The sequence below is a fragment of the Homo sapiens genome, chromosome 18 (genome assembly GCF_000001405.40).
Source record: "Homo sapiens chromosome 18, GRCh38.p14 Primary Assembly".
NCBI lineage: Eukaryota > Metazoa > Chordata > Mammalia > Primates > Hominidae > Homo > Homo sapiens.
This window is the reverse complement of record NC_000018.10, coordinates 29,608,752-29,623,839: the sequence shown is the minus strand read 5'-3', so window position 1 is coordinate 29,623,839 and position 15,088 is coordinate 29,608,752.

The following is a 15,088-nucleotide window of genomic DNA, read 5'->3' as shown; positions in this document are numbered from 1 at the left end:
ACTGCCTCAACTAAGAAGTATGAACAGAATAGTTACCTTTAGAAGAAAAGGGTGTTTAAGCAGTCAACTAAAGCAGAAAAAAAACCAAAAACCCACAACTGTTCCTATTATAGTGAACAAGTCATATTATAGGCTGAAAGATGATCAGGGAATAGCATAATCCAGTGAACAGCTTAACTAAACTATCCCTTACTACACTCTTGAGCAAGACTTTGAGTCTTTTCTAAAGTAAGACATAAGTAAATATGTTAGAAAATTTTGTATCATTGTAGTCATCAGATTTTTCAGGTAACTGCACCATTAGAACTTTCAGATATTGTGAAAAAAGATGTCAATAGTAATGATATGTTTGGTATTATTTTTAAACCACTTTTTATGAAATCTATGAACTATACATCCGGATAGTGGTTTAAAAACACCAAACATATCATTACTGTTGACATCTTTTTTCACAAGGGTGAGGCTCATTGTGAATTAAATTGCATGTCTCTCTATTCCAAGAGTTAAATTCTGCAGACCGTCTTTATAAACCACAACAGAGGCTGGGAACTTTAGAGCAAATACCATATTCTTTTGCCTTTTTTGAGGAATAAGAGTGATTTATCCAAGTGGCAAATCAATTGTTAAAGTAGAAGGTACTAGAATGGATATAAAAGCTCACAAATCTCTGTTGATTTTGAGTATACAAATGAAGTAGTGAGGTATGGTAAAGTCATCCCTACAACAAATAACATCAGACTGTTCTAATGTAGCTGTGCAAGTAAAATTGTTTCATTGGATATTCAAGAGGGAGATAAATATAAATGCTTCCTTATTTGAGTTATTTGTGGAAGAAGAAGAAATTGAACATACATTTGGAATCTTGGAGATGGATGTGGATTTCTATTTTATATTACAAAATATTCATCAAGTAAAAGAGTGCAAGTGCCTCAAATATATATATTATACTTTATTATATATCTGTATATCTTATATATACAACTATATATCTTACATATACATCTTACTATATAGATAGATTTTAAAATTACTATCAAAAATGATAATATAAGTGAGATAGATAGTGAAAAGTCTTTGGACGTAGACAGATTTTGATTCAAACTTTTCTTCTACCAATTTACATATTTGAATCTGAGACTTGGTAATTTCCCCCCATGACCCTTTGTTTCTTTAGATCAAGATTACAAGTTCTTTTGTGAGATTTTAAGTTTGAGGAATAGTAAATATAAAACACCAAGAACAGTGTCTGACCTTCAATATCTGGAAGTTCTAATGAAATTAGAGTATATGGGAATTGCAGTGTTTATTCACTTAATCTAGTTTGCGTTCAGTAATGATCTGAAATGTATGCACTTGGCTAATGTTCAAGCATTTACAGCAATATCAATTGTATTTATCCTTTAAGGTAAATAGTTTCTAATTCATTTGTTTTAAATTGTCTTCCTATAATGCTGAACTAAAGAACCAGCCTTCGGCTCTCTAGACTTTGTTGGGTTTTTGATAGTTGATTTACCCACACACACAGAGGCCTCACTATAGCTAATACATCTACATAATTACACTCGTGGTTCAAATTCATTGATTAAAACCATCTCCAAACAGTCAAATGTTTTACAGTAATTAGTTTAGTCATTAGTTTAGAAAAGAACGTTGAACCAAAAATGTGTTTTTAGCATTGGCATAGACATGTACATGTACATGTCTTAACTTTCATCAAATGTGTTACGTTTGATAACATTAGGACTGAAGGTATTATTTTGAAGTGACTACATGAGAAGAGATTAATAATTTAGAGTCAAATTATATATATACTTGTTATTGTTTTTGTTTTTTTAAGTTTAGAGAAGTATTTACTTTGGAAAACCACTTGTATTTGTTCAATAAGAACCACTAACTTTGTTTTAAAAATCTTTTTTAAATTGTGAAATACAACAAATATAGATAAGAAATATTTTAAAATGTACTGCTCAGTGATTTTTCAGAAAATGAACACCATGCAAGCACAACAACAGAACAATAATAGAACATTATCAACCATTCGAGTGCCATCCTCATTCCACACTTAATCACTACTCAGAGAAAACCACTATTCTCACTTGCATTTCTTTATAGATTCATCTCCTCATCTTAGTGCGTTTGGGCTGCTGTAATGAAAATGCCATAGATTAGGTGGCTTATAAACAACAGAAATGTATTACTCTCAGTTCTGGAGGCTGGAAAGGCCAAGACCAAGGCAACGACGCATTCAGTGTCTGGTGAGGCCCTGCTTTCTTATAGACGGCTGTCTTCTCATTGTAGCCTCACATGGAAGTAAGTGCAAACAAGCTCTCCAGGATCTCTTTCTATAAGGACACTAATCCCATCCAAAGAGCCCTCGTGACTTAGTCATCTCCTAAAAGCCCCATCTCTCAATAACCTCACCTTGGCAGTTAGGATTTCAACATATTAATTTTGGAGGTATGCAAACATTCAGACCATAACATTCCTTAATATGCATCATTGAAACAATAATTTTATAAAACATGGCTGGGCACGGTGGCTTATGCCTGTAATCCCAGCACTTTGGGAGGCCAAGGTGAGCAGGAGTTCGAGACCAGCCTGGCCAACATGGTGAAACCCTGTCTCTACCAAAAATACAAAAATTGGCTGGGCATGGTGGCACACGCCTGTAATCCCAGCTACTCGGTAAGCCTGAGGCACAAGAATTGCTTGAACCTGGGAGGAAGAGGTTGCAGTGAGCTGACATTGTGCCACTGCACTCCAGCCTGGGCTACAGGGTGAGACTCAGTCTCAAAAATAAATAAATAAAATAATATATATATGTATATATATGGAACCATAATATGTATTTGTTTGCTTCTAACTTGTTTTAATCAACATTTCATGAGTTGTACTCATGTTATTGTGTGTGTGTGTATATATATATATATATGTGGTGCAGTTATTAATCTGTGTTTTCTCTCTTCTTAATTGGTCTAGGTAAAGAATTGTAAGTTTTGTTGATGTTTTAAAAGAAATAGTTTTTTGCTTTATTGATATCTTTATTGTTTTTCTGTACTCTTTTTCATATATTTCCACTCTAATTATTATATCCTTTCTCCTTCTTGTCTTAGGTTTACTTTGCCCTTCATTTTTCTATATTCCTAATGTGAAAGCTTTAGATTTTGATTGAAGTCCTTTTCCTTTTCTAAAATATACACTTAAAATTTAAACTTCTATCTAACAAAAACTTTTGCTGCATTCCAAACAGTAATTTTTACAAATTGTAGTTCAATTTAAATATTTTATAATTTATGTTATTTTTCTATCAGATGTGTTTTATTTAGTTTGTATTACTTAATTCCTAGATATTTAGCATTATCCTGGATTCTTCTTGTTACTATTTTCTGATTTAATATCATTATGGTCAGAGCAAGTAGCTTGTAGGAATTTATTATCTGATGCTACTTGGTGAAGGTTCTATGTACACTTAAAAATACTTGTATTCTAAAATATCCTCAAACTTCCAATTATCAATATAAAGTTTTTAATAGTTATATTTCAAATATTCAACATCTTTTCTGATCCTTCTATTACTTGTTTTTTTAAATTGCTGAAAGAGAAATATTAAAACCTCATATTTTCATTGTGGTTTGCTTTTTTCCCCTTTCTTTAATTTGGCCAACCTTTCTTCATGCTTTCTTCATTCATAAAAATGCTGTTTTTAGGTACTTTTACATATAGGATTATTATACATTTTAAAATGTTTGCTATTATAAAATATTTCCCTTTATCTCTTTAATAATTTTTTAATGAAATCTACTTTTTCTAGTATTATTGTAGCCAATCTAGCTAATTTATGTCTAGTGTTTGCAGTTATGTTTTTTTCTAAACATTTTCAAACTGTTTATTTTTATATTTAAAGTTTGGTTTTTATAAAGAGCATGAAATTGGGGCTTGTTTTTGTATACAACTGAAATTATATAGCTTTTAAATGGAGATTTATTTCAACTTAATATATTTATTGATATGTCTTTTAAAATAGCTCTTTATTATTAACTATTTTATTCCTTTGTACCTCTTTTTCTAAATTCAGTTGTGTGAATTGTACAGTGTTAGCAATTCATGTTATTCCCTGCATTTTCTTTCTTAGCCGTACCTATTTTCTCATTTTTACTGGTTGCTCCAAGGATTACAATGTACATTTTTAGTTTATGTCATTCTACCTTTAGATAATATATTATGTCACAAAGAGTGTAAATATCTCATGGCAGTGCATTACATTTCCTCCTTCTCATATCTTGTTTTCTTGTTGTTTTATATTTTACTTTTTAATAATTATAACCCCTAGTACATTATCTTTATTTTTGCTTTGAACATCAATCTCGTTTTATTCTTAAAACCATCAATATTGTCTTACATTTACTTTTATGTATACTATAAACCCTTATTATATTGTCATAACTTTGCTTCAAACTATCAATTCCTTGAAAGAAATTCTTTCCAAACTCAATAATTTATCCTAGCAATTTTTACTGTGTGGAACTGTTTGAAATAAATGTTCTCACGATTTCATTGAGAATGTCTTTATTTTGCCTTATTTTTTGAGGAATATTTTCATCTCAAGATTATCAACATGTTTTATTTCTTGTATTTAATATAAATATTATATTCTTCCCAATATTAGATATATGAATACCTAAATGTTTTTAGCTCTTAAAATAGACATTTCACTGCATTTAGTCATCTATTATTTCTAGTGAAAACTTGGCAAGCAGTTGTAGATTAGTTTTTCCATATGTAATGTCTTTTTTCTCTGATTGCTTTCAGGATACTCTCAATATTTTTCTTTTTCAGAAGTTTGAATCTAATATGTCAGTCCTTTTTTTGTATTTAAACTGCTTGAGCTTCTGTATGTATAAGTAAATATTTTTCACTAAAATTTTAAATTTAATTTCTTGAAAATGTTTTAATTTTTGAAAAATATATATTTTAATTTTTTTCCTTTATACTTCTGAGATGTAGCTCATTCAGCCTGAAAAATACTTTTTAAAGTTTTTCTTAATATAGCTGATCAGAAAGTTTCCCAGTATTTTTTCATTTTTTCTACATTCTTTTGTTCTGGTTATTGTTACAGTTTATTTTAAATGCCTTTCTTTGCCTCTTACCTATATTCTATTGTGTAAGTTTTCAAATATATACTTCGTTGAGTCACATTCAAATTTATTAATTCTCAAAGAGTAATGTTCTCTTCTATGTTTAATCTGCTCTTAAATTCATCAGTCTCCATTGCAGTTATTAAATTTTTACTTCTATAACCTAAAATCTTTTTTAGTAAATGTTGTTTTAGTATCTTTCCAATAAGACATCTTCATTTTGGCTTTAAAAATGGCTCAAATTAATATAAGACAAACATAAAGTAAATTATAAATGTTATTCAATGGATACTGAGCAATCCTTTATGTTTTTTTAACAAATTAATAATTCACAAGGGAGTAAAGATAATTTCCCCAAACATAAAGAATGATATATCCAAAGCTCGTTGTAACAGGGAGGGAAATCTAAACATCAACAAAAATGGAACAAAGGACAATACTTTTACAGCATACACCATTAAACAAATTATAAAATATTATGGGGTTATTATGCAAAGCAACCAAGATTAATTGCTGCTAATTGACTAAAGTCACAAAACGAAGTGTTGGTTTCACTTGTGATACTAATGCCATTTACAAGGTTAATTACTGTGTCACCTCAAAGCCCCCAGTTGTTTTTCATATTGTGGCAGAGAACGCTGGAACAGATGGACCAAAATAACATCTGGCTTAGGTGAGCAATAAAAAGTACAGCTGACATCCTTGAATGATTTCCTACAGTAGCATAGTCTCAGGGAAGGAAAATAATAAGAGAGAAATGTGGGTGCCAAAAATAAACAACTTGATATATAATTATTAGCATAGTGGCCCTTGCCAAATCCCAGGGTCAATGCCATAATCACCATCTAACAGGGCAATGGTAATGTTCTTATCAATAAAATCTTTTAAAAAATATTTATATTTGATTTAGTCAATTTGTCACTAATATCTTACCTTGTCGACCTTGCTTCCAAGCATGCTTGTGCATAAACTCCAAAAATAATGCCTTCAATTTTAAAGAAAATAACAGTTTTTAAAACATATCCCTCTTGATCCCCCGGATAACCCTACAAATTAGATGATACTACGTGATATCCAAATTGAAAACCAAGGCCCACAAAGGCTATATTTGAGGTTTAAAAGGTATAAGGATACAAAACCAAAATTACTGATTTTAACGTACTGCACTCACATTGAGAATTACATTATGCCAGTAACAGGAAAAGGAAAGCCTGTTAATAATGACTATCAGAAACTTTAAAACTACAATTTGCAAATTTTATTTCCTGCTGTTTTAAGTAATATTAGAATCATTTTGTTTTTCAAAATGGTGCATATCTAAGGAATTTTGTTCCAAACATTCTGCTATAAAATTATTTCAATTTTATTTTACCTACTAAACATAATCTTTCAAGGCCTGGGAATGAGCACCAATGCCATTTCCAGCATGCAAAATCTTCTCAAACAGTTCAAGTTGAAAATACACAGCCAAATAATACAACACAATTGCACTAGAAAAGAAATATTTATCAAAATTCTGAGATTGTGGCCATCTTTTCAAATGCATTTGGATGTTTTCTGCAGCTGGTTTATATGCTGTATTTTGTTTGTGCTGAAGACCTGCCCTCTCCTGGTTGTGCTCATTACAAGGAGCACAGGCTACACATGACACATTAGAGAGGTAGTTCAAAGGTGAGCTCTCTTGGCCTTAATTTCTCTCTGCAAGGTATAATAGTGTTGCTGCTGTCTTGTCAGGAAGGAAAGCATTGAACACTGCACATGTAATTAATTATCACTATTGTTATCAGTAGGATCCTGCTAGGCATACTCCTCCTGGCTTTGTTTTTCTCTTTCACCTTAGTATGTTTCACAACGTACTCCCTTTCTGATGAAGCCACAGAGCCACTTTCTATCCTTAGAGCTAATGTTGGTTTTTGTACCCTTTGAACGTGAGAAATCTGTGGAGAGGTGGTTATTCAAGCTATATTTTCTCTCTTTTTTTCCCTTAGGTATTTTTTCAGTCATAGCCTCCTTTTATTTTCAGCTCATCAGTATACATGTGTCCCAAGGAGAAATATTTTATTGAGATAATTTTAGTATAAAGAATACTTAAGCAGACTTATGTCAGTATTAGTAATGCTTTCTGAAACAAAATGGAGAATTATCTGTATCATTGAAACCTATTTTGTTCACATTCAATATCCATGCCAAAACGAAGACAGTAGTAATAGGCTACTATAGATTATTTCTACCAACTTCATTAAGATATAATTCACATACTATACAATTCATCCATTTAAAGTGTAATATTCAACGGATATTTTAGGGTGTTCACAGAGTTGTATGACTATTGCTACAATTAATTTTAAGATAATTCTAGCACTCCAGAAAGAAACCCTGTAACCAGCAGCAGTCACTCTCTTCTTCCTCTCAATTTCCCCCAAATTAGTCCCAGAAAATCATGAATCCACTATCTCTTCCTATAGATTTGTCTATTCTGAACACTCCATATAGATGAAGTCATGAAATATATCTTCTTTTGCAACTAACTTCTTTAATTTTGAGTGATGATTAACGGTTCATCTATATTGTAGCAAATATAGGTAGTTCATTCCTTTTATTGCTTTTTAAACTTTTTTTAAGTTCAGGGGTACATGTGCACGTTTGTTACATAGGTAAATGTGTGCCATGGGGGTTTGTTGTACAGACTATTTCATCACCCTGGTATTAAGCCTAGTACACATTAGTTATTTTCCCTGATCCTCTCCCTTCTCCAACCCTCCAAACTCTGATAGGCCTCAGTGTGTGTTGTTCTCCTCTATGTGTTCATGTATTCTTATCATTTAGCTCCCACTTATAAAGGAGAACACGTAGTATTTGGTTTTCTGTTCCTGTGTTAGTTTTCTAAAATAATGGCCTCCAGCTCCATCCATAACCCTGCAAAGGACATAATCTCATTGTTCTTTATGGCTACATTGTGTTACATGGTGCATATGTACCACATTTTCTTTATCCTATTTATCATTGATGAGCATTTAGGTTGATTCCATGTCTTTGCTATTGTGAATAGAGTTGCAATAAACGTATGTGTGCATGTGTCTTTATAACAGAATGATTTATATTCCTTTGGGTATATACCCAGTTATGCAATTGCTGGGTCAAATGCTATTTTTGTCCTTAGGTCTTTGAGGAATTTTCACACTGTCTACCACAGTGGTTGAGCTAATTTTCATTCCCACCAGCAGTGTATAAGTGTTCTTTTTCCTCTGCAACCTCACCAGTATCTGTTATTTTTTTACTTTTTAGTAATAGCCATCCTGACTGGTGTGAGATGGTATCTCATTGTGGTTACTGCATTTCTCTAATGATCAGTGAGGTTGAGCTGTTTCTCATGATTGTTGGTCACATGCATGTGTTCTTTTGTGTACTGTCTGTTCATGTCCTTTGCCCACTTTTATATGGGGTTGTTTGTTTCTTTCTTGTAAATGTGTTTAAGTTCCTTATAGATGCTGGATATTGAGCCTTGGTAAGATGCATTGCTTGCAAAAACTGTCTCTCATTCTGCAGGTTGTCTGTTTAATCTGTTGATAATTTCTTTTGCTATGGAGAAGCTCTTTAGTTTAATTAGATCCTATTTGTCAATTTTTGCTTTTGTTGCAATTGCTTTTTGCATCTTGGGCATGAAATCTTTGCCAATCCCTATGTCCTGAAATCGTATTGCCTAGGTTGTCTTCCATGGTTTTTATAGTTTTTGATTTTACATTTAAGTCTTTAATTCATATTGAGTTGATTTTTGTATATGGTATAAGGAAGGGGTCCAATTTCAATCTTCTGCATATGGCTAGCCAATTATCCCAGCACCATTTATTGAATAAGGAATCCTTTCCCCATTGCTTGCTTTTGTCAGGTTTGTCAAAGGTCAGATAGTTGTAGGTGTGAGGTCTTATTTCCAGGTTCCCTATTCTGTTTCATTGGTCTATATGTCTGTTCTCATACCAGCACCATGCTGTTTTGGTTACTGTAACCCTGTAGAATAGTTTGAAGTCAAGTAGTGTAATACCTCCAGCTTTGTTCTTTTTGCTAGGGGTTGCCTTGGCTATTTGGGCTCTTTTTTTTTTGTTCCATATGAATTTTAAAATAATTTTTTTCTAGTTCTGTGAAGAATGTCAATGGTAGTTTAATGGGGACAGCATTGAATCTATAAATTGCTTTGGGCAGTATGGCAATTTTCACAATATTAATTATTTCTATCCATGATCATGGAGTGTTTTTCCATTTGTTTGTGTTATCTCTGATTTATTTGAGCAGTGTTTTGTAGTTTTTCTTGTAGAGTTCTTTCACCTCTCTACTTAGCTGTACTTCTAGGTATTTTATTCTGTTTGTGGCAGTTGTGAATGGGAGTTCATTCATGATTTGGCTCTCAGCTTGATTGTTGTTGGTATATACGAATGCTAGTGATTTTTGCAAATTGATTTTGTATCCTGAGACTTTGCTGAAGTTGCTTATCAGCTTAAAAATCTTTTGGGGTGAATTCTACCAGATGTACAAAGAAGAGATAATACCATTTCTACTGAAAGTATTCCAAAAAGCTGAAAAATAGGGACTCCTTCCTAACTCATTCTAAGAGGCCAGCATCATCCTGATACCAAGACCAGGGAGAGATTAAAAAAACAAAAACAAAAACAAACAAACAAAGAAAAAACTTCTGGCCAATATCCTTGATGAACATCAATGCAAAAATCCTCAACAAAATACTGGCAAACCGAATCCAGCAACATCAAAAAACTTGTCCACTATGATCAAACAGTCTTCATCCCTTGGATGCAAGTTTGGTTCAACATACACAAATCAATAAATGTGATTAAACAGAATGAAAGACAAAGCCAAATGATTATCTTAATAGATGCAGAAAAGGCTTTTGATAAAATTCAACATCCCTTCATGTTAAAAACTATCCATAAATTAAGTATTGAAGGAACATATCTCAAAATAATAAGAGCCCCGTATGAATATCCTAAAGCCAATATCATACTGAATGTGCAAAAGCTGGAAGCATTCTCTTTGAAAACTGGAACAAGACAAGGATGCCCTCTGTCACTACTCGTATCTGATACAGTATTGGAAGTTCTGGCCAGGTTCATCAGGCGAGAGAAAGAAAGAAAGACAGTCAAATAGGAAGGGAGGAAGTCAAACTACCCCTGTTTGACCATCCCTATATCTAGAAAAGCCCTTTTATTGCTTAATAATAGTTTATCATCTAGGTATACTTCATTTTATATATCTGTTTGTCAGTTGAGAGGCATGTAGGTTGTTTCTATTTTTTGGCTATTATGACTAATGTTGCTATGAACATTTGGGCACAGGATTTTGTGTGGAAACATGTTTTCATTACATATATATATAGTGTATATTCACTGAATTATAAGGCACCTCTATGTTTAATCTTTTGAGGAACTACCAAATTACTTTCCAAAATGGCTGCACCATTTTATATTCCAACTAGAAATGTCTGAAAGTTCCAATTGCTCACACCCTTGTCAACACATTATGGTCTGTCATTTTTATAACAGCCATCCTAGTAGCTATGAAGTGGTATTTCTTTTGCTGTGGTGAATTGCATTTTTCAAATGGCTAATGACATTGAGCATCTTTTTAGATGTTTATTAGCCATCACATAAGATCATTCATACACTTTCCCCAATTGTCTTTGTATTATCAAGTTGTAAGAATTCTCAAATATTCTAGATACAAATCTTTATCTGATATATGATTTCCAAAAATGTTATCCCAGTCTGTGTTTGTGCTTTCACTCACTGATGGAGTCCTTTTAGGTACAATGGTTTTAATTTTGTTGAAACCAAATGTATCAAAATTTTTTCCTTTGTTGCTTGTATTTTTAGTGTAATATCTTAGAAAGTTTTGTCTGATCCAAAGTCATGAATATTTAGTCCTATATTTCCTTTAAATCTTTTAAAAATAGTTTTAGATTTTATATGAACTTTATAATACATTTTTAATTAATGTTTGTATGTGTGTGATTCATTTTCATGTGCCCATCCTGTTGTCTCAGCACAATTGCTTGAAAAGACTATTTTCCCCAGTGAATTATGTTTTCACCCTTGTTGAAAATAAATTGGACTGGGTGCGGTGGCTCATATTTGTAATCCCAGCACTTTGGGAGGCTGAGGCAGGTGGATCACTTGAGGTCAGGAGTTCCAGACAAGCCTCGTCAGCAAGGTGAAACCCTGTCTCTACTAAAAATACGAAGGAAAAAAAAAAAAAAAACTAGCCGGGCATGGTGGCGGGTGCCTGTAGTCCCAGCTACTTAGAAGGCTGAGGCAGGAGAATTGCTTGAACCTTGGAGGCGGAGGTTGCAGTGAGCCAAGATCATACCACTGCACTTCAGCCTGGGCAACAAAGCGAGACTCTGTCTCACAAAAAAAAAATAAGAAAAAAAGAAAGAAAGAAAGAAAATAAATAATTAACCTTAAATATTAAGGTTGATTTCAGATTTTCAATTAAATTCTCTTGATCTATATCTACCCTATGTCAGTTCCTTTCTTACCTGTTCACTTTAGTAAGTTTGTTTCATACATTTATACTAGAGTTAGTTGATTTGGCACATTTTGCATCATATCCTGATATCTCCAACCACCTAAATGATATTTTAAAATTTTTATATTAAGGTTGACTCCTTATGTTATAAAAATTTTATGACTTTTGACAAATCCGTGGCATCATGTTTCCACAATTGTAGTCAACCTCTTTGCATTCTGAAACATAGTCAACCTCTGATTTGTTTCCTGATGATGTAATTTTGCTTCTTCCGGAATGTCATACAAATGGCATCATACACTATGAAACTTTTGCAGATTGGCTTCTTTCACTTATTAATATGCAGCTAAGATGCATGCATCTCTGCATATGGCTTGATTGCTTATCCCTTTTTTTATCACTGAATAGTATTTTATTGTACAGATACACCACATTTTGTTTATTCATTCACCTATTGAAGGTCAACAACTTGCTCTAACTTTTTGGTTATTATCAATAACACTGCTATAAACACTCATCTGTTAGATTTTCTATGGAAATAAATTTTCAAATCACTTGGAAATATCCTTGGAAATATAGGTGATGGATTATACTCTAAGACAATGTTTACTTAGTAAGAAATGTCCAAACTACCTTTGAAAGTGGCTGTAGCATTTTGTACTCCCACTAGCAACGAATAAGAGTTCCTCTTGCTTATTGTCTCCAGTAACGATATTGTTGATCTTTTGAATTTTAGCCATTCTAAACGATGTTGACTTTATTTTGTTATTGTTTACATTTGTAATTCAATATCTACAAAAATGTAAAGTGTCTTTTAATGTCCCTATTTTCCATCTATATAGAGTATTTGATAAAGTGTTTGCTAAGAATTTTTTCCTTTTCTTAGTTGAGTTGTTACGTTTGAACTAACTGGGTTATGTTATAATTGAATTTTAAAATATATTTGTATATTTTGGATACCAGTCTTATACTAGATATGTGTTTTGCAATGATTCTCTTCCATTCTGTGGATTTTAATTTTATTCTTTTAACAATGCATTGTGAAGGACAATTTTTATTTTAATAAAACCTAACATCTATTTTTCATGGATTAAACTTTTAATTTTTTATCTAAAATCTTTTCAACCAATTCATTTTTATATAGATTATCTCCTATGTATTTTTCTAGTTGTTTTATAATTCTGAATTTTACATTAGCGTCTATAATTCTTGTGTAAGGTGAAACATGTGTATCTAGTTTCATCTTATTGTTCCATCAGTAGCAAGGTTTTGCATGCTTTGAACTTCCTACAGAAGAAATGACAGGACAGAATGCACAGGCTTTCTTATCTGCGGACCCAGATGTGCAGAAGAGGGACAGATGAGGCTTGAAAGCTGTCAGAAGTTAAACATCAAAATGGAGTCAGGCTCTTGGATACATCTTATTCTGAAAAAAGGTGAAGAAAGTGATTTGCATAAAAGAAATCTGATGCATTCAAAGGAAATTATATGTCCACAGAAAAACCTGGATATAGATCTTTATCACAAGATTATTCACAATTGCCGAAAAATAGAGCAAACAAAATTTCCTACAGCAAGTGAATAGAAAACAAAATGTGGTACTGATACAAGTGAATCCCAAAATTGGGACTCAGCCTAGAGTTCTTGGCTTTGCTCAGGAAAGAATTCAAGAACAAACCGACAGTGAAAGAAAGTAAGTTTATTAGAGCAACCCTGTGCAGCAGAATGGCTGCTCCATAGGCTGAGTGGTGCTATTCCATAGGTAGAGCAGCCCTGATTAGCAGCAGCAGCAGCAGTATATAGAAACAGTGGCAGTCCAGATTAGCAGCCTCTGGCTAGCTATATTTATACCTAGTCTTAATTATATGCTAATCAAGGGGCCAGATATTCAGAATTTTCTAGAAAAGGAATGAGGGATTTACCCAAACCATATAAGGTAATTTCATGTTTGTTGCCATAGCATTTGTAAACTGTCATAGCACTGCTGAGTTTCTTATGCAAATGAACCATAAACTTCCTAGTCCTAGCTGGTTTTGGCCAATATCTTTGCTATACCCTGTTTGATCAGCAGGGCCGTGATGCCTCTCAGAAATCAACTCTTGTTGATCTCCTATCTCAGTACGGGAATATTATACAGCACCAAAAAGAAATGAGCTATCCACCCATGAAGACACAGAGGAAACTTAAATGCATATTACTAAGTGCAAGAAGCCAATATGAAAAGGCTGCATATGATTCCAATTACATAATGTTATGGAAAAGGCAAAACTATGAAGAAAATAAAGGGATTAGTGGTTGCCAGGGGATGAGGGAAAGGGAGAGATGAATGGGCAGAGCCCATAGTTTTTAAGGCAATCAAACTACTCCGTATGATACTATAATGGTAGATACATAGATACATGTCATTACACGTTTGTCCAAACCCATAGAAGGTATAACACCAAGAAGAAACCCTAATATAAACCATGAGCTCTGGGTGAAAATGATAGGATAATGTAGGTTCATCAGTTGTAACAAATGTACCACTCTGATGGAGGATGTTCATAATGGAGGCGGCTACGCAAGGGTAGGGGCAGGAGTTAAAAAGTGAATTTTTGTACTTTCTGCTCAGTTTTGTTGTGAATCTAAAACTGCTCTAAAGATAGTTTATAAAAAAAATTAAAAAGTTGTAAGTGCTAAGAATGTATAAGACCTAAGAAATTATAATGCTGATAGAAAAAAGGAAGCTGGTTCAGTAGCATTATTCAAATCAAGTAAATTAAAAAAAATTCATTTTAAAATGTTTTTGTTAATAAAGTTAATTCAAGTATAACACTGAGCAAAATAATAACTTGGAACTATTATTACCCTGCCTGATCTCCTCTCACTAGAGCCTTCCAGCAGCCTCAGCTGGAAGTTAAATACCACAAAGATTTAACTATATCTCCAGATTTTGGAATATGTAGACAATTTCTATTTCTGTAATTTTACAATTATTTATTTTATTTTATTTTATTTTATTTTATTTTATTTTATTTTATTTTATTTTATTTTATTTTATTTTATTTTATTTTAGAGACTGGGATCTCCATATGTTGCCCAACCTGGTCTTTAACTCCTGGGCTCAAATGATCCTCTTGCCTCAGCCCCCAAACTAGCTAGGACTGCAGGTGCATGCCACCATGCCCACCTTAGACAATTTCTCATATACTGGCTGCCTAACTCAGAACCAGACGCATAATAGGTATCTAATAAATTGTGTTAAATAGCATACAATTATAATAATTGAATCAAATTGCTGCTACCACAAGTATAGCTTTATGCTTGGGGTATTATAAGCAGCTGATTTGTTATTTATGTGCCTGAGTTGTTTCCACACCGGACCCTATGTCTTATAATCCTGTCTCTTTCTTATATCACTCTGCCTTGGTCGTCTCATT